The sequence below is a fragment of the Homo sapiens genome, chromosome 8 (assembly GCF_000001405.40).
Source record: "Homo sapiens chromosome 8, GRCh38.p14 Primary Assembly".
NCBI classification, from domain to species: Eukaryota; Metazoa; Chordata; class Mammalia; order Primates; family Hominidae; genus Homo; species Homo sapiens.
Genome location: NC_000008.11, coordinates 22337874 through 22358052, shown reverse-complemented (window position 1 = coordinate 22358052; position 20179 = coordinate 22337874). Strand labels below are relative to the sequence as shown.

General features: G+C 42.9%; 1 protein-coding gene across 4 annotated transcripts in view, besides 2 other annotated features; it reads right to left on the bottom strand.

Annotated features, from left to right (window-relative positions):
- Positions 1-484: 484 nt before the first annotated feature.
- PIWIL2 (piwi like RNA-mediated gene silencing 2) overlaps positions 485-20179 on the bottom strand; it is an 82253-nt gene continuing 62558 nt past the window's right edge. For 2 of the 4 annotated variants that reach the window (NM_018068.5, NM_001135721.3), the window contains exons 21-23: positions 4841-5094; positions 3675-3782; positions 485-2704 (exon numbers count right to left, since the gene is read on the bottom strand). In NM_018068.5, coding sequence (NP_060538.2) covers positions 2548-2704; positions 3675-3782; positions 4841-5094 — 519 coding nt within the window. In that variant the 3' untranslated portion in view covers positions 485-2547. The remainder of the gene's footprint in view (positions 2705-3674; positions 3783-4840; positions 5095-20179) is intronic. The other 2 variants (NM_001330480.2, XM_047421924.1) reach the window with 1 other exon arrangement.
- Positions 18370-18539: an enhancer, noted in NCBI's record as "experimental_102873 CRE fragment used in MPRA reporter constructs". NCBI's record gives its function as "activates a minimal promoter by MPRAs in K562 erythroleukemia cells, with activity observed for the introgressed 8:22197112 variant allele {active_cell/tissue: K562}" and the evidence as "EXISTENCE:reporter gene assay evidence [ECO:0000049][PMID:34662402]".
- Positions 18935-19104: an enhancer, noted in NCBI's record as "experimental_102872 CRE fragment used in MPRA reporter constructs". NCBI's record gives its function as "activates a minimal promoter by MPRAs in K562 erythroleukemia cells, with activity observed for both the introgressed and non-introgressed 8:22196547 variant alleles {active_cell/tissue: K562}" and the evidence as "EXISTENCE:reporter gene assay evidence [ECO:0000049][PMID:34662402]".

Here is a 20179-nt window from a genome sequence, read left to right as displayed (position 1 = left end):
CTGTGCCACTGAACTACTAGATCTTATTCCTTCTAATGGGATTTTTGTACCCAGGGAAGGTATTTCAATGGTGACAGACACCCCGTGAGGTATATGTAAAAAAGGGCAAGCGTTAAAATAGTGGAGCGGTGGGGAGGCTGCCCTTGCAAGTGGACACACTCTGGCTCTCACTTAGGGTAAAAGAAATTGTCTGATGGGAGAAAGAGAGCTAAAAACCACACACAGACACACACACACACACACACACACACACACACACACACACACAAAGTGCCTCATCTGTCTGAGAAGTGAGGTGGCTACTGTTTTTTTCAATAAGTCTTCTTACCCAGCTGATGATGAAATTACCTGGCTACTAACACTGGAGTTGCAACTTACAAGCAGAGTAATGAGTGTTTCTAGGAAGTGCTGCAGCTCTCTGAAGAAAAAGAGTTACATCAATATAATAATAAATAAACAACATTATTTCAAACACAACTACAAATTTATACAAAGTTGTTTTTATTTCCCACCCCATGACCCAATCATTTGGCATTAAAACCGAAAAACGAGGCAAGAAAACCAAGAATAAAAAGTGAAGAAATTTTTGTATTATAATGTATTCAACCATTTGTTCTGATTATCTAAGAGAAAAAAAGTATTAGGAAATCCAACTTCAACAGAAAAATTCAAAACGCTTCCAAGGAAAATCAGAAAACTGATCTGCTTAGCCAGAGACCAGTGGTTCACAGTGTTTGATTCTGTGGTTTTTAAATTCCAGGTCCTTGTCTCACCCTAATGTCCCACACTCCAAATGAAACCAGCAGTGCACCAACAATACCCATCCCTCCTCAACCTCGGCTGGGCACCGCAACAAACCAAAAACATTCTTGGTTTTCTTGTTTTAAGGAAATCTTTTTTCTTTTTTTCTATATGCTAATCTTCTCTATATCATTTTAATTTTAGTATATGTGCTGCTGAAGTGAGCACATTTTACGGAGTTTTAAGCTAAAGTTTCTTTTCTCACACATTGTCATATAAAAGGGGTATTTCTGCTTTGTCCCCTCCCTGCCATCATACCAAAAAATAAATAAGTACATAAATACAAATTAGAAAAGCTTAAATAAGACCGGTTTTTAAAACCCAATAAAGCAAGATGAGACAGAACTAGGCCCGAAGGGACTGGGAGAAGATTCTAAAATGGAGAGGGGGGAAAAAAAACCAGAAAAAAACGGGTTTCCAAAAACACTGAAACCCATGGTATGTGATAACTTTCTAACCATCTGGACTTTGGTAGGAGTGTCACGTTTTCCAAAGCTGACTTCTGGAAATCTTAACCTGGATTCAGAAAAATTCCAGCAAAGTGAGCCAACAGCCAGGAAGCGGTTATTTTGCAAGAGAAAGGGGGTAATTCCATTTACAAACATATATAAATAGAAATAAAGGCCACACACCTGGGAGAAAAGTTCACTAAAAACTCCCACCCCAACTTGAACTTTCCTAGCTGCTAGATTTTTTCTGCCTGTTAAAAAACTAAAAATTACTGAAGATCAGGCACAAAGAGCAAAAGAGCATGTGTATATTTGGGGAAGAAATCGTCATGGTATGCTGGAAAGTTACTGAAATCCACGGAAAAGGCTTCATCTGCACTCTTTCAAGAGGCCAAGGGAAGCCATTTTCGAATCCAACTCAAGTCACAGTCGTCATCAATTCAATCCCCAGAGAGGATTTAGTCAGCAAGGGCCGACCTATGCCACAAACTGATTTTACTACACGCCTTGCACACCTGCCAGTAATAGCAATATCTACTTGAAAACTTTGCTTCACAGACCTTCCACTGCCTTTCCCAGTTGCCTGAGTAATTCTCTTCAGGCAACTTGCAATGACTTAATTATCATCTCTGGCTCCAGAAATGGGAACCACTTAGTTGGCACAGCTTAGAAGTATAATGGCTGCTTCTGCTGGTTTCTGCAGCTCATGTTGGCTTTTTTTTTTTTTTTTTGAGACAGAGTCTTGCTTTGTCAACAGGCTGGAGTGCAGTGGCGTGATCTCGGCTCACTGCAACCTCCACCTCCCGGGTTCAAGCGATTCTCCTGCCTTAGCCTCCTGAGTAGCTGGGACTACAGGCGTGCACCGCCACACCCGGCTAATTTTTTTGTATTTTAGTAGAGACGGGGTTTCACCATGTTGGCCAGGATGGTCTTGATCTCCTGACCTCATGATCCACCCGCCTCGGCCTCCCAAAGTGCTTGGATTACAGGTGTGAACCACCGCACCCGGTCTGGAGGTCTTAATGGTCCCCCAGAGTCACCCGCTCCACCTGCAGAGTGGCAGTACCACCGTAACTTGCTCTACACAGGCAACAAGGCCATTTTCAGCTGTTACTCAGAAACTTGCTTCTTGGTGATATTAGGTTTAAAAGACAAGAAAGAAATCTTATTCTACAGGGTTGGAGAAAGGGAAAATTATAACACAAAAGCCCACTTCAGTCTCTGTTGATTCTGCAAGAGTCACAGCTGAGTTCTGAGGCCGCCTTTCTTCTCACCAGCCCATCTCCAAGCTGTGCAGTCACAGGAAGAACAGGTTCTCGCACAGCTGGATGGCTGGTTCATGATGCAAGATGTGTCCTGACAGGAAAGCTAGCTTGTGGGCATACTTGCAAGGAGCTGGAACTCTGATGGTGCCAGGCCAATTCCAGTACATGTGGCACAGTTTGAAAGTCAGCCTGTAGGCCAAGAAGAAAATATAATTCTCATCATCCCCCACCTTCAATTTGTGGCATGCAATACAATACAATAGTCACGGGGATATGACACAGAGCACACCTTCCTGAAAACTGGGGAGCAGAGGAATACATGATGCAGCTTTTTAGAATCACTATTTTTAAATGGACTTGTTTTTATTCCCACTATTCATAAGTCAGACGACATGGGTAAATCTTCTCAATTGAGGCATTTCCCTGTTTTTTTTTTGTTGTTGTTGTTTTTTGTTTTGTTTTTTTTTTTTGACAGAGTCTTGCTCTGTTGCCCAGGCTGGAGTGCAATGGCACAATCTCTGCTCACTGCAACCTCCTCCTCCTGGATTCAAGTGATTCTCCCAACTCAGCCTCCCGAGTAGCTGGGATTATAGGCATGCGCCACCACACCCAGCTAATTTTTCTATTTTTAGTAGAGACAGGGTTTTGCCATGTTGGTCAGGCTGGTCTCGAACTCCTGGCCTCAGGTGATCCGCCTGCCTCAGCCTCCCAAAGTGCTGGGATTATAGGCGTGAGCCACCGCACCCAGCCTCCTGTTTTTATACGAAAACAACACAAAGAGAAAATATTTCTTGTTTACAAGAAAAGGCTGGAGAAAGGTAAGTACCCTAGTGGAGTATTTATATAATCTGAACTCAACGGCACTGGGTCTCAAGTCTGGCTGTATGTCATAATCGCCTGGAACAGATTTAAAAAATACAGATGCCTCAGAATAGTTGGGGGGAAGCCTGGCATCAATATTTTTTAAAGCTCTTTAAGTAAAAGTAATTTTAATATAAAACCAGGATTTCCAATCTCTCCTCAAAAAGACACCATAATTGTCAAAGATATGAAGAAAAGTCAAGAGGTAAATATATTTTGGGGTGAACAGTGAGCCCATCTTAGCTAGCAGGCCAGAATTATTTAAGAAAGAGAAAGAGTAAGTTACTGATGGGCCCACCTCTGCATATGATCAGGGCTCAGGTTTGCGGTGTTGAGAACACAGACATAATGCGTAGGAATGCCACAGCCCTGCCGTACATGATGGGCAAGAAGATAGAAATCCACCCTAGGAAGGAAAACCATAAATCAGTGAAATGGTCGGATTCAGCCAGACAGAGCTGGCAAAGATCCTGGAGATCGTTCTAGCTCCTTCAACTAAAGCTCAGAGAGCTCAAATGACTGGATCAAGGACACAGAGGCCAGACCAGGATTAGAACCCAGGTCTCCTGACTCAAGAGGCTACTGAAGAATGGTGGTAACAGGCTGGGTGCAGTGACTCATGCCTGTAATCCTAGCACTTTGGAAGGCTGAGGCAGGCAGATTGCTTGAGCCCAGGAGATCGAGACCAGTCTGGGCAACATGGCAAGACCCTGTCTCTACAAAAAATACAAAAATTAGTTGGGCATGGTGGCATACGCCTATTGTCCCAGCTACTCAGGAGGCTGAGGTGGGAGGATCACCTGGGCCTAAGCAGGTTGAGGCTGCAGTGAGCTGAGATCACATCATTGCACTCCACCCTGGACAACAAAGCGAGACCCTGCCTCAAAAAAAAAAAAAAAAAAAAAAAAAAAAGTGGTAGAAACTCCCTTATCTTCCTGTAGAAGTTAAGCATACGCTATCTTAGCAAAACAAGGTATGTTCAACTTTTCACTTAAGAGGTAAAAGCTTTCTTGTTTTTAAATCTTTTTTGTTTCGTTTTGAGACAGAGTCTCTCTCTGTTGCCCAGGCTGGATTACAGTGGACTTACTGCAACCTCCGCCTCCTAGGTTCAAGCGATTCTCCTGTCTCAGCCTCCCGAGTAGCTGGCATTACAGGCACACACCATCACACCTGGTTAATTTCTGTTATTTACAGTAGACAGGGTTTCACCATGTTGGCCAGGCTGGTATTGAACTCCTGACCTCAGGTGATCTAACTGCCTCAGCCTCCCAAAGCGTTGGGATTACAGACGTGAGCCACCATGCCAGGCCCTTAAATATTTTTTAAACCTTCATTCTTTTAACGGTAGCCTCTCTGAGATTCTAGTCCACAACTCTCCAGGAAACCTCCCCATTCCAATACTCAGGAAAGTGACAACATCTCCAACTTATTCTTCCTCCAATACTACATATTTTGCTCACTTACCACTCACAGCTTGTTATTGTATGATCTACCACAGTTCCAGGAGTGGGAGTTACAAAGTTCTGAGGAGCAGCCAGATATAGATTAGTACTGATTTTCTTCTGAACTACAAACACCACCATCTTGGGCTGATAATTCTCAAAAGCTTCAAAACACTTCTGTAGTTGAGGAATCTCATAGTTGGCAACTGTCTTCAGTTGGCCATCAGACACTCCATCACGGTACACCACAATCTTCTCTGGTAGACAGTGGTTCACCTGAAATGACAGCGAGGATGTGGTGACTCACAGAGCCCTCAGGCTACGGACCACAGTCAGTGAGAGGCCCACTCGCATTGTGTAGCCTGGAATCATGGCAGATCCTTTTGCAGTTAGTGCCAAAGCTACTGTGCCTAGAGGGCAGGGAAAAAAAGCTTCTAATCATTTCTAGACTTCCTTGGGGTAGTAAAACACGCCTGGTGCAGCAAAGGTGTTATAAAACATGAAAGCAAAACATGCAAGTTATGAGTCACATGCATACGGCTTATCCACAAACAATGCAAACAAAGTTCAAAGGAATGCTGGGAAAACTGCAGGCTGAATCAATTTTCCTTCTACTTGGATTTAACACTAATAACTGTCGGGGCAAAGAATAAGGTAAAGTGTTAGAGAAATTCTAACATATGACCACATATGCCACAGATCCGCTGCCATCAGATTTTTACCTACTGGAAATATCCCAAGTTGCTGACAAGTGAAACGTCCCTTTACTAAATATTACCCTACAGTCTGGTATGGTGTAAAACATACAGTAAACATACAGTAAAACATTTTTACTGTAACTAAGTAATTAGCAAACAGCTAGCTATGTGAATTGTCTATGGGTCCAAATTAAATTAAATGCTTGCTTGAAGCAATTTGAAGAATAATTTTTCCCCCATTTAGGGAATATAATTGTGTTCTAGTTGTGTTCAACTTCAATAATTCAAGAAGGGCCAGGCACGGTGGCTCACGCCTGTCATCCCAGCATGTTGGGAGGCCAAGGCGGGTGGATCACCTGAGGTCAGGAGTTCAAGACCAGCCTGGCCAACATGCTGAAACCCTGTTTCTACTAAAGATACAAAAATTACACAGGCATGGTGGCACATGCCTCTAATCCCAGCTACCTGGGAGGCTGAGGCAGGAAAATCACTTGAACTCATGGGGTGGAGGTTGCAGCAAGCTGAGATTGTGCCACTACACTCCAGCCTGGGCAACAAAATTCAAGAGGGTAAGTTCACTTCAACTTAAAATGGAAGTTCCCTTTAAAAGTGCTTTAGTTTAATTCAGTTTTGATTCTAGTGGAGTGTGGTTCATTCTAAGTTTGTGTTCATACTTACCCTCAAAAACCTAAATTATGGGCTGGACACGGTGGGTCACGCCTGTAATCCCAGCACTCTCAGAGGCCGAGGTGGGTGGATCACCTGAGGTCAGAAGTTCAAGACCACCCTGGCCAACATGGTGAAACCCTCGTCTCTACTAAAAATACAAAAATTAGCCAGGTGTGGTGGTGCACACCTGTAGTCCCAGCTATTCAGGAGGCTGAGGCAGGAGAATTGCTTGAACCTGGGAGGTGGAGGTTGCAGTGAGCCAAGATTGCACCACTGCACTCCAGCCTGGGTGACAGAGTGAGACTCCGTCTCAAAACAAAAAACAAAAAAACAAAAAAAAAACACCAAAAAAACCTAAATTATGAATTAGGTTTAGATATAAATTATATATATATATATATATATATATATATATATATATATATATGTATGTATGCACTGTTCCTTACAGGTTACTCTACATGAAAATGTGATTTCCAAGAATACTTTAAAAAAATAAGCACTTAGAATCCCTTTAAAAAGTTGAGTTTCAATTTGTTTTTTTTTTTAAGAATTGAGGTCTCACTCTGTTGCTCAGGTTAGACTGCAGTGGTGTAATCATAGCCACTGCAGCTTCAAACTCCCAAGCTCAAGAGATCCTCCTGCCTCAGCCTGTCAAGTAGCTGGAACTACAGGTGCTTGTCACTACGCCAGTTAATTAATTAATTATTTTTTTTTGAAACAGAGTCTCGCTCTGTTGCCCAGGCTGAAGTGCAGTGATGCAATCTTGACTTACTGAAATCTCTGCCACCCAGGCTCATGCAATTCTTGGTCCTCAGCCTCTCAAGTAGCTGGGACTAGCTGGGACTACAGGTGTGCACCACCATGCCTGGCTAATTTTTGTATTCTTAGTAGAGATGGGGTTTTGCCACGTAGGGCAGGCTGGTCTCAAACTCCTGACCTCAGGTCATCCGCCTACCTTGGCCTCCCAAAGTACTGGGACTACAAGCGTTAGCCACTGCGCCCAGCCTAATTTTATTTAAAAACATTTTTTAGAGACAGGGTCTCACTATGTTGCCCAGGCTGGTCAAACTCTCAGCCTCAAGTAATCCTCCTCCCTCAGCCTCCCAAAGTGCTGAGGTTACAGGAATGAGCCACCACTTCTGGCCCAGAATTTCAAATATTAATGACCCCTTTTCCTAAGAAGCCTCAAGCACTACATTTACAAGTATGTAATTCATCTTCACAGTCTCAGATTGCACCAGTTTGTGGTACTTTTTATTTATTTTTTTGAGATGGGGTCTCATGCTCTTGCCGAGGCTGCAGTACAGTGGCACCATCTCTGCTCACTGCAACCTCCACCTCCCAGGCTCAAGCCATCCCTCCTGACTCAGCCTCCTGAGTAGCTGGGACTACAAGTTTGTGTCACCATGCCTAGCTAACTTTTGTATTTTTTGTAGAGATGGAGGTTTCACCATGTTGCCTGGGCTAGTCTCGAACTCCTGGACTCAGTGATCTGCCTGCCTTGGCCTCCCAAAGTGCTGAGATCACAGGTGTGAGATACCATACCTGGCCTGTAGTACCCTTAAAAAAATTTTTTTTGGCTTTCCAGCATCTACTCCATCTTTTCTCAGTAATAGCACTTGAGTTTCCTCCTGCCCCCAACAAGATATAGTCTGGTGGGACTATTAGTCAACGTGCCCTAGCCCAACCCAAGGTTTCCCAACCTGTCAGCTCTACTGACATTTGTGGGTAGATAATTCTTCATCCTAGAGGGCTGTCCTGTGCACTGCAGAATCTACATTTAGCATCATCCGTGGCCTCTATTCAGTAAATGCCAGGAGCAACCTCTCACCCTTATGACTAAAAACGCCTTTATATATCACCCACTGGGAGGACAAAATTGCTCCCAGTTGAGAACCACTTCACTAACCAAAGGATGTGTAGACGACTCGAGCCACACCAACAGACTGCTCCTCCCTTGCTTCCATCTTGAGTAGAGAATGCAAAACAGTGGAGTTTGGCCCTTCAATGGCAGTGCCTTTTCAGGCCCCTGCTTCTGAAACCCCAGGAGTTAGCCTGAATCATGCCCATTTACCAGCCTGGGGCTCCACCTTCTCACCAATCCTCTGAGCCTCTGTACGATCCTGCCAATTTCTATTCTGCTCAAGTTACCAGTTCCTGTTAATTCCCAAAGACTCCTAACTAACTCGCTGTGTTAAAAGGCAGGTGACCCAGGACCTCAGATCTGGAAGAAACCCTCATTTGACAGACAAGGAAACAGACAGTACAGTGGATTTGGGGTCAGGAGACCTGGGACTGAGTCTGACTCTGCTACTCCTTTAGCTGTGACCTTCAAGACTCAATTTCTTCAGTTGAAAAGTGAAGAAAAATGATCATCTCACCTTCTTCTCAGGGTTGTTAAAAGGGATAAAGTAAAATTTATATATATATATATATATATATATACACACACACATATATTGTACACAAAAGTTGAGACCGAGCTAGATCAAGGATATACAGATATTCCGAAGCACAAAGAAGGGACTTAATAAATCAATGGAGTGAAAAATAGAAGGCCGGGTGCAGTGTGGCTCACGCCCGTAATCCCAGCACTTTGGGAGGCTGAGGCAGGCGGATGACTTGAGGTCAGGAGGTTGAGACCAGCCTGGGCAACATGGTGAAACCCCGTCTCTACTAAAAATACAAAAAATAAGCCAGGCCTGGTGGCGTGCATTGAACCCGGGGGGCAGAGGTTGCAGTGAGCAGAGTTTGTGCCTCTGCACTCCAGCCTGGGTGACAGAGTGAGATCCCATCTCAAAAAAAAAAAAAAAGAAAAAAGAAAAATAGAAATCAAATTTGACTTTGGTAACTACTGGCATCACCTCCTTCTTTAACATTTGCCAACTAACCACTGAGTTCAAGGCACCACACTCAGCCCTAGGTAGGCCTCCAACAGAACCGAAAGGAATCAAGGAGCTGAAAAATCTAAAAATAATCAACAATGTTAAGCTGTCTAGGTCATCTAGTCTATTTTCTTCATTTTGTAAGTTATAAAACTATGATTGAGGGATGAGTCAGAATATAGGACAAATCACAAGGCTGAAACATAACTCTTAAATGTGTTTTTCTTTCTTTTGAGACAGGGTCTTGCTCTGTCACTCAACCTTCTGGGCTCAAGCGATCCTCCTGCCTCAGCCTCCTGAGCAGCTGGGACTATAAGCATAGCTGGGACTACAGGGATGTGCCATCAAGCCCGGCTAATTTTTTTATTTATAGTAGAGACGAAGTCTCAATATGTTGCCCAGGTTGGAACTCCTAAATGTATGTTATAAAAACCACTTCAGTACTCAGTAGATACTTGAAACAGTAAGTAATGAATGTTCTCGAAAGCAACACTGTGTTTATTAATTTTAGTATCCCTTAGCACTGCGCAGAGGGGCAAGGGTCAGTTAGGCAAAAAATATCTGCTGAGTGTTTGACATGTTTTTATGTGTGGCTCCATTCATTCACGGAACAAATACTTCACATCCACTAGATATGAGCCACTGCACTTATCTCAGAAAATTAAAACATTATTATTTTTGAGATGGAGTCTCGCTCAGTCACCCAGGCTAGAGTGCAATGGTGTGATCTCGGCTCACTGCAACCTCCGCCTCCCGGGTTCAAGCGATTCTCCTGCCTCGGCCCCCGAGTAGCTGGGATTACAGACACCCGCCATCATGCCCGGCTAATTTTTGTATTTTTAGTAGAGATGGGGTTTCGCCATGTTGCCCAGGCTTGTCTCGAACTCCTGACCTCAAGTGATGTGCCTCACTGTCTCAGCCTCCAAAAGTGCTGGGATTACAGGCGTGGGCCACTGTGCTCAGCTAAAACATTATTTTAATACTATCCAGATCCTCATGGAACTCAAATTAAAAAGGGGAGGCAGACGCATAAATGCCCTCAATATATTATAAATAACATAATAAAGATATAAATGCTATGGCAACAGAGGAGTGTAAGAGATTTGCTCCCTGGAGGGAGAAATGTATCAGGAAAAGGCATGAAGAATGAGTCTGCCAGGAGTGGTGGCTCACACCTGTAATCCCAGCACTTTGGGAGGCCGAGGTGGGCGGATCACCTGAGGTCAGGAGTTTGAGACCAGCCTGGCCAACACAGTGAAACCCCGTCTCTACTAAAAATACAAAAATTAGCCAGGCATGCTGGCAGGCGCCTGTAATCCCGGATACTCAGGAGGCTGAGGTAGGAGAACAGCTTGAACCCGAGAGGCGGAGGCTGCAGTGAGGCAAGGTCATGCCACTGCACTCCAGCCTAGGCAACAGAGCAGGACTCCGTCTCAAATAAAAAAAAAAAAAAAAAAAAAAAAGGCCAGGCACAGTGGCTCACGCCTGTAATCCCAGCACTTTGGGAGGCTGAGGCGAGCAGATCACAAGGTCAGGAGATTGAGACCATCCTGGCTAACATGGTGAAGCCCCATCTCTACTAAAAAAATACAAAAATATTAGCTGGGTGTGGTGGCGGGCACCTGTAGTCCCAGCTACTCGGGAGGCTGAGGCAGGAGAATGGCGTGAGCCCGGGAAGGGGAGCTTGCACAGTGAGCCGAGAGCACACCACTGCAGTCCAGCCTGGGTGACAGAGTGAGACTCTGTCTCAAAAAAAAAAAAAAAAATTATGTTAATGTGCTGAATTTGCTACTTTTTTTTTTTTTTTTTTGAGACAACGTCTTGCTCTGTTGCCCAGGCTGGAGTAAAATGGTGTGATGATGGCTCATGCAGTCTGAACTTCCTGAACTCAAGCAATCCTCTTACCTCAGCCTCCTGAGTAGCTGAGACTACAGGCATATACTACCATACCCAGCTAACTTAAAAATTTTTTTATACATATGAGGTCTATGTTGTCCAGGCTGGTCTTGAACTCCTGGGCTCAAGTGCTCCTCCTACCTCGTCCTCCCAGTGTTGGGATTACAGCCACGAGCGGCTATGCCCAACTAAAAATTTTCCTTAGAGATGGATCTTGCTATGTTGCCCAAGCTGGTCTCAAACACCTGAACTCAGAAGATCCTGCCACCTCAGCCTCCTGAGTAGCTGCGCCTACAGGCATGCACCACTATGCCTGGCTTATTGTTATTTCTAAGTAAATTAATAAACATTGAAATTTTTACCTTCTAATATGCTAATTATTGACAGATATGTATCCATATAAATAAAAACTCTTTGGGGCCTTCAATAATATTTAAGAATATAAAGGGGCCCTAATATCAAAAATTTTGAGAACTCCTGAACTAGAGCTACAAATCTAAATACAGATATTAAATAAATCACATGTGAGCTTAAGACTGTCTGGGAGGCTTCAGGTGGTGAACCATGAATTCTGAGAAGCCCTACAACTCAGGACAACTGGAAAAGCTGGGCAAAATATGAAAACATGTAGTTTGCGAAGGCCTTAGATGCATCCCAGCATCAGAGGAGGAAGGATGGGGCCCAGGGGAATCAGCCAAGCATGCGAAGGCATTCTTCCCTGGCAGGGCTGCTGATTCCACCACGGGAACTAAAAAGCTGTGAGGTGGAGGAGTGCTTTTTATTTTGAACAGCTTTATTGAAATATAGTTCGAAATACCATAAAACTCATCCTTTTATTTACTTTACTATTATTATTTTTAGAGACAAGGTCTCACTGCGTTGCCCAGGCCTGAGTGCAGTGGTGTGATCAAAGCTCACTGCAGCCTTGAACTCCTGGCCTCAAGCAATACTCCCACTTTGGCCTCCCAAAGCTCTGGGATTACAGATGTGAGCCAGCACGCCTGGCCAAACTCACCCACTTAAACTATACAATTAAATGGTTTTTTATTACTTTCAGAATTTTGAAACCATCACCACTATCTAATTTTAGAACATATTGATCACCCCAAAAGATTTTAATCCCATACCCATTGGCAGTCAGTCCCCCAGTGCCTCCTTCCTTTGACTCCTAGAACCTACTAATGCGCTTTGTCTCCATGGGTTGGACTATACTAGACAAATAAAATCATAAACTTTTTTATGTTTAAATAAATTTCACTAAACATAACGTTTTCACAGTTCATCCATGTTGCAGTACGTCTCAGTCCTTCGTTCCTTATTGCAGAATAGTATTCCATTATATGCATATGTCACATTTTGTTTGTCCATTCATCAATTTGTGGACATTTGTGGGTTTTTAAAATTATTTCATTATATTTTTGAGACAGAGTCTTGCTCTGTCACCCAGGCTGGAGTGCAGTGGTGCAATCTCAGCTCACTGCCACCTCTGCCTCCTGGGTTCAAGCAATTCTCCTGCCTCAGCCTCCCTAGTAGCTGGGATTACAGGTGCACACCACCATGCCCAGCTAATTGTTTTTGTATTTTTACTAGAGATGCGGTTTCGCCATGTTGCCCAGGCTGGTCTCAAATCCCTGGCCTCAAGTGATCCGCCCGCCTCAGCCTCCCAAAGTGCTGGGATTATAGGTGTGAGCCACTGCGCCTGGCCCATTTGTATTATTTCAATTTCTGGCCATTATGAATAATGTTGCTACGAACATTTGTGTATAAGTTTTTGTGTGGACTTGTGTTTTCAATTTTCTTGGGTACACAATGTTTTCAATTTTCTTGGGTACATACCTAGGACTAGAATTCTTGGGTCATGTGGTAAATCTGTTTAACTTTGATTTTTATTTTATTTTACATATGGAGTCTATGTTGCCCTGGCTGGAGTATTGTGGCTATTCACAGGTGTGATCCTCACACACTATAGCCTTAAACTCCCGGGTTCAAGTGACTCTTCCACCTTATCTTTAAGAGTAGCTGGGACCACAGGCTTGCACCTCTAAGCCCGGCATGCTTAACTTTTTAAGGAACTGCCCAACTGTTTTCCAAAGTAGCTGCATTATTTTATTTTACAATCCCATTAGCAATCTATGAAGTTTCCAATTTCTCCATGTCCTGGACAAGACTTTTATTACTTGTCTTTTAAATTTTATTTTAATCTTTTCTTTAAAAGGGTCTTACTCTGTCACCAAGGCTGGAGTGCAGCGGCACAATCACGGCTCACTGCAGCCTTGACCTCCCAGGCTCAAGTCATCTTCCCACTTCAGCCTCTTGAGTAGCTGGGACCACAGATGTGTACCATCATGACCAGATAATTTATTTTCATTTTTTATTTTTGTAGAGATAGGGGTCTCCCTATGTGGCCCAGGCAGTCTCAAACTCCTGGGCTCAAGCAATCCTCCCACCTTGACCTCACAAAGAGCTGGGATTACAGGCATGAGCCATCATACCTGGCCTCTTTTAAATTTTAGATATCCTCGTGCATACGATATGGTACCTCATTGTGTGTCTGTATGTTTTTAAATTAAGAGACTATTTTTTAGAGGAATCTTCAAGTTTACAAAAAAACCTGAGGCAATAGAACAGAGTTCCCATATGCCCTCCTCCCACCTCCTATCCCCACCCATAAACAGTTTCCCCTTTTGTTATCATATTGCATTATGGTACACTTGTTACAACTGATGACCAAATGTTGATACATTAACTATACTCCACAGTTTACATATTTGTGTTGTACAGTTCTATGGGTTTTGACAAATGCATAATGTTATCTAGTTTCAGTGCCCTAAAAATCCTGTGTGCCACCTATTCCTTTCTCCCCCTTCCAAACCCTTGACAGCCACTTTTTACTGTCACCACATTTATGCATTCTCTAGAATGCCATTTATCATACAGTTAGAATCATATAAAGCCTTTTCAGATTACCATCTTTCACTGAGCAATATGTATTTAAGATTCCTCCATGTCTTTTCATGGCTTAATGGCTTATTTCTTTTAACACAATATTCCATTGTCTGGATGCATGACAGTTTATCCACTCACCTACTGAAGGACATCTCTGTTTCCAAGTTCTGGCAGTAATGAATAAAGTTGCTACAAACATTCACGTGCAAGTTTTTGTGTGGGCGTAAGTTTTCAACTTATTTGGGAAAATATCAAGGAGCGTGATTGTTGGTATGTGTATGTAAGTGCACATTTAGTTTAGTAATTAGCTGCCAAACTGTTTTGCAAAGTGGTTGTACCATTTCCATTCTCACCAGCCGTGAGTGAGCGTTCCTATGGCTCTACACCCTCACCAGCATTTGGCATTACCAGTTTTTGAATTCTGATCATTTATAGGTGTGTAGTGGTATCTGATTGTTTTAATTTGCAGTTCCCTAAGGGCAAGTGATATTGAACACCTGCTTGTATGCTAATTTGCCATCTATCTATCTACCTATTTTTGAGACGGAGTCTCGCTCTGTCACCCAGGCTGAAGTGCAGTGGTACAATCTCAGCTCACTGCAACCTCTGCCTCCTTGGTTCAAGCAGTTCTCCTGCCTCAGCCTCCTGAGTAGCTAGGATTACAGGCATGCGCCACCATGCCCAGCTAATTTTTTTTTTTTTGAGATGGAGTTTCGCTCTTGCTGCCCAGGCTGGAGTGCAATGGCACAATCTCGGCTCACTGCAGCCTCTGCCTCCCAAGTTCAAATGATTCTCCTGCCTCAGCCTTCCCGAGTAGCTGCGATTACAGGCATGCGCCACCAGGATTACAGGATTACAGTCATGCGCCACCACACCCGGCTAATTTTGTATTTTTAGTAGAGACGGGGTTTCTCCATGTTGGTCAGGTTGGTCTTGAACTCCCTACCTCAGGTGATCAGCCCACCTCGGCCCCTCCCAAAGTGCTGGGATTACAGGTGTGAGCCACTGCGCCTGGCCTAAGTTTTGTATTTTTAGTAGAGACGGGGTTTCACCACATTGGTCAGGCTGGTCTCAAACTCCTGGCCTCATGATCTGCCCGCTTTGGCCTCCCAGAGTGCTGGGATTACAGATGTGAGCCACCACACCCGGCCTTATCTACCTATACTCTTTGGTGAGATGTCTGTTGAGGTATTTTGCTCATTTTCTAATTGGGTTGTTCATTTTCTTACTGTTGAGTTTTAAGAGTTCTTTGTATACTTTATAACAGTCCTTTATCAGATACGTGTTTTGCAAATATTTCTTCCTAATCATGGCTTGTTGTTTCATCCTCTTATCAGTGTTTCCCAGAAGTTTTTAAATTCGATGAATTTTCGATGAAAAATTTATCAATTTTTCCTTTCATGGGCTTTTGGCATCATATCTAAAAAGTAATCACCAAACCCAAAGCCACCTAGATTTTCTATGTTATCTTCTGTAAGTTTTAGAGTTTTGCATTTTAAACATAGGTCTATAATTTGTTTTAATTTTTGCAAAACGTGTATGGTCTATGCATAGAGTTTTTTGCATGCAGGTGGCCACTTGTTCCAGCACCATTTTTTGAAAAGATTGTTTTTCCACTGACTTGCCTTTGTTCCTTTATCAAAAATCACTTGACTATATTTGTGTGTGTCTATTTCTGGGCTTTCTATTCTGTTCCACTTATCTATCCGGCTGTCTTTTCATCAATACCACACAATCTTGATTACCGTAGTTTTTACAGTAAGTCTTTGAGCTAGGCAGTATCAGACCTCTGCAGTACTGTGTTGGCTATCCTTAAACCTTAAAATCAAGTTTGTTGATATCCACAAAATAACTTGCTGGGATTTTGAGTAAGATTGCATTGAATCTAGCAATCAAATTTGGGAAGAATTGATATCCTAACGATATTGAGTCTTCTTATCAATGAACACAGAATCTCTCTCCATTTTTAAGATATTCTTTGATTTTTTTCATCAGTTTTGTAGTTTTCCATGTGTACATCTTGTATGTAATTTGTTAGGCTGAAACCAAAGTACTCCATTTTTTTCTGCTGACACAAATATTTATTGTCTAAAATTTCAAATTCCGATTGTTCACTGCTGGTACACAGGAACAAAATTCACCTTTTTTTTTTTTTTTTTTACAGCAATAGACTTTTGTACAACTGTGTATCCTACAACCTTGCAATTCTCACTTACTAGTTCTAGCAGGGTTTTTTGTTGTTGGTTTCTTGGGATTTTCTACATAGACAATCATGCTATCTGCAAACAAAGATAGTTTTGTTTTCTCCTTCCCAATCTTCAAGGCTTTAATTTCCTTTGCTTACTGCATTAGCTAGGACTTCCAGGAGGAAGCTGATTAATAGTAGTGATAAAGAGTATCTTTATAGCATCTATCTTAGGGGGAAAGCATCTAGTTTTTCACGAGTATGTTAGCTGTAGCTTTTTTGTAGATTTTAAAAATCAAATTGATGAAGTTCCCCTCTATTCCTAACGTGCTGGGAATCTTTTTTTTTTTTTTTTTTGAGACGGAGTTTCGCTGTTGTTGCCCAGGCTGGAGTGCAATGGCACAATCCTGGTTCACCGCAACCTTCGCCTCCCAGGTTTAAGCGATTCTCCTGCCTCAGCCTCCTGAGTAGCTGGGATTACAGGTATGCACCACCATGCCCAGCTAATTTTGTATTTTTAGTAGAGACGGGGTTTCTCCATGTTGGTCAGGCTGGTCTTGAACTCCTGACCTCAGGTGATCCGCCCACCTCAGCCTCCCAAAGTGCCGGAATTACAGGCGTGAGCCACCGCGCCTGGACTTTTTTTTTTTTTTAAATCATGAATGAGTGTCAAATGATTTTTCTTCATCTACTAAAGTAGTCATATGATTCTTCTTCTTTAGCCTGTTGATGGATGGATTGCATTAACTGATTTTTGACTGTTGAACCAGCCTTGCATAACCGGAATAAAACCCACTTGGTTGTTTCACTAGTTTCCTAGGGCTGCTGTAACAAAGTACCATGAACTGGGTGGCTCAAAACAACAAAGATTTATTCTCTGATGGTTCCCAAGGTATCAGCAGAGCCATGCTTCCTCTAAAGGCTCTATGAACAAATCTTTGCTAGGGTGCAGTGGTTCATGCCTATAACCCCAGCACTTTGGGAGGGCAAGGCGGGAGAACTGCTTGAATTCGGGAGTTCCAGACCAGCTTAAGCAACACTGTGAGACCCTGTCTTTACAAAAAAATTAAAAAATTAGCCAGAAATGGTGGCGCATTCCTGTAGACCCAGCTACTTGGGAGGCGGAGGTGGGAGAATTGCTTCAGCCTGGGAGGTAGTGAGCTACGATCGTGCCACTGCACTCCAGCCTGGGTGACACAGAAAGACTCTATGTCTCAGAAAAAAAAGAAATAAAAAGAAAATAAAAAAAATCTTTCCTTGTCTGTTCAAGCTTCTGGTGGTTCAATCCTTGGTGTTTCTGGCTTGCAGATACATTCTTCCAATCTCTGCCTCCTCCTTCCTGTTGCCTTCTCCCGTCTGTGTCTGCATCTTCAATGGTGTTCTCCCTATGTCTCTGTGTCCTATCCCTGTCTTCTTAAGGTAATACCCATCATTGGCTTAGGACCCACTCTAATCTGGTCTTACCTCATCTTAATTTGATTACATCTACAAAGACCCTGCTTCCAAATATGGTCACATTCACAGGTTCCAGGTGGACATAAATCTGGAGAAGCTTTATTTAACGTAGTATGGTCTCAATGCAGAATTCTTTTTATAGGCCAGGCGTGGTGGCTCACGCCTGTAATTCCAGCACTTCGGGAGGCCGAGGCAGGCAGATCACCCGAGGTCGGGAGTTCAAGACCAGCCTGACCATCACGGAGAAACCCCGTCTCTACTAAAAATACAAAAAAAAATTAGCCAGGCATGGTGGCACATGTCTGTAATCCCAGCTACTTGGGAGGCTGAGGCAGGAGAATCACTTGATCCCGGGAGGCGGAGGTTGCGGTGAGCTGAGATTGCACCATTGCACTTCAGCCTGGGCAACAAGAGTGAAACTCCTTCTCAAAAAAAAAAAAAAAAAAAAAAAATTCTTTTTATACAGTTAGGTTCACTCTGCTAATGTTTTGTTGAAGATTTTTGCATCTATGTGCATGACAAACATCGGTCTGTAGTTTTCCTTTCTTGCAATGTCTTTATCTGGTTTTGCTGTGAAGTGGCATCTCATGGCTTTGATTCCCAATTCCCTAATGACAAATGATATTTAGCTTCTTTTCATGTGTTTACTATTTGTATACACTCTTTGAAGAAATGTCTAGTCAAAATGTTTGCCCATTTTAAAATTGGGTTGTGTTTTTCTTGAGTTGTAAGACTTCTTTGCATATTCTGGATACTAGAGCCTTTCCATATGTATCGGATGAATGACTTCTCCCATTCTATGCGTTGTCTTTTAACTTTCTTAATAGTGTCTTTTGAAGCACAAAAGGTTTTAATTTTCATCAAATCGATTTTTTCTTTGGCTGCTTTTGCTTCCAGCGTCATATCTAATCAACTGGTGCCTAATATTAATAGACATGGTCACAAAGATTTACATCTATGTTGCCGTCTACAGTTGCATAGTTTTTTTTTTGAGATGGAGTCTCACTCTGTCACCAGGCTGGAGTGCAGTGGTGTGATCTCGGCTCACCAAAACCTCCGACTCCCTGGTTCAAGTGATTCTCCTGCCTCAGCCTCCTGAGTAGCTGGGATTACAGGCGCGGGCCACCACGCCCAGCTAATTTTTTTGTATTTTTAGTAGAGATGGGGTTTCACCATGTTGCCCAGGATGGTCTCCATCTCCTGATCTCGTGATCTGCCCACCTCGGCCTCCCAAAGTGCTGGGATTACAGGCATGAGCCACCACACTTGGCCAGTTTTATAGTTTTAATTCTTACATTTAGGTCTTTGATCCATTTGGAGTTACTTTTTGTATACTGTGTAAAGAAGAGCTTCAATGTCATTCTTGTGTATGTGGATATCCAGTAGTCCCAGTACCATTTCTTGAAAACATTACTCTTTCCCCCACCGAATGGCAAACTTGCTGAAAATCAGTTAACCGGCCATAGGCCCATGGGTTTATTTTTGGACTCTCATTTTTACTTCACTGATTTGAGTCTATCTCAATGCTACTGACCACACTGTCTTGTTTATCTCTGTAACAAGTTCTGAAATTAGAAACTGTGAGTGTATTTTTTAAAGATGTTCTTGACTATTCTATGTTTTTGCATTTCCATATGAATTTGAGTATCTGCTTATCCACTCCTGCAAAAAAAAATGTTACTTTTGCAATGGATCTTGTTACATTTGTAGATTCACATTTGGAGAGTTAAACCCAAAGTACTCCATTGTTTTCTGCTAATGCATAAATGTTGTTATTTATTTATTTATTTATTTATTTATTTATTTTTGAGATGGAGTCTCGCCGTCACCCAGGCTGGAGTGCAGTGACGTGATGTTGGCTCACAGCAACCTCTGCCTCCTGGGTTCAAGTGATTCTCCTGTCTCAGCCTCCCTATTAGCTGGGATTACAGGCACGCACCACCACACCCAGCTGTTCTTTTGCGTTTTTAGTAGAGATGGGGTTTTGCCATGTTGGCCAGGCTGGTCTCAAACTCTTGACCTCAGGTGATCCGCCCACCTCGGTCTTCTAAAGTGCTAAGATTACAGGCGTGAGCCACCCCACCTGGCCATTAATGTTTTTAATTCCAAATTCCAATTGTTCATTGCTAGCACACAGGAAAGGAACTGACTTTTAAGTGATTGACTTTTGTGTAATAACTGTGTATCCTGCAACCTTGCAATTCTTGCTTACTAGTTCTGGCAGGTTTGTGTTGTCGTTGTTGTTGGTTCCCTGGGATTTTCTACATAATCACACAAACTGCAAAGATAGTTTTCTTTTCTCCTTCCCAATCTTCTCAATATTGCGTCTTAACAATATTGTCTTCCAATCCATAAACATGAGTTGTCTCTCCTTTTATTTAGATCTTCAATTTCTTTTTTTTTTTGAGATGGAGTCTCGCTCTTGTCACACAGGCTGTAGCAGTGGCATGATCTTGGCTCACTGCAACCTCCATCTCCTGGGTTCAAGCAATTCTCCTTCCTCAGCCTCCCGAGTAGTTGGGATTACAGGCATGCACCACCACACCCTGCTAATACTTGTACTTTTAGTAGAGACGGGGTTTTGCCATGTTGGCGAGGCTGGTCTCGAACTCCAGCCTCAGGTG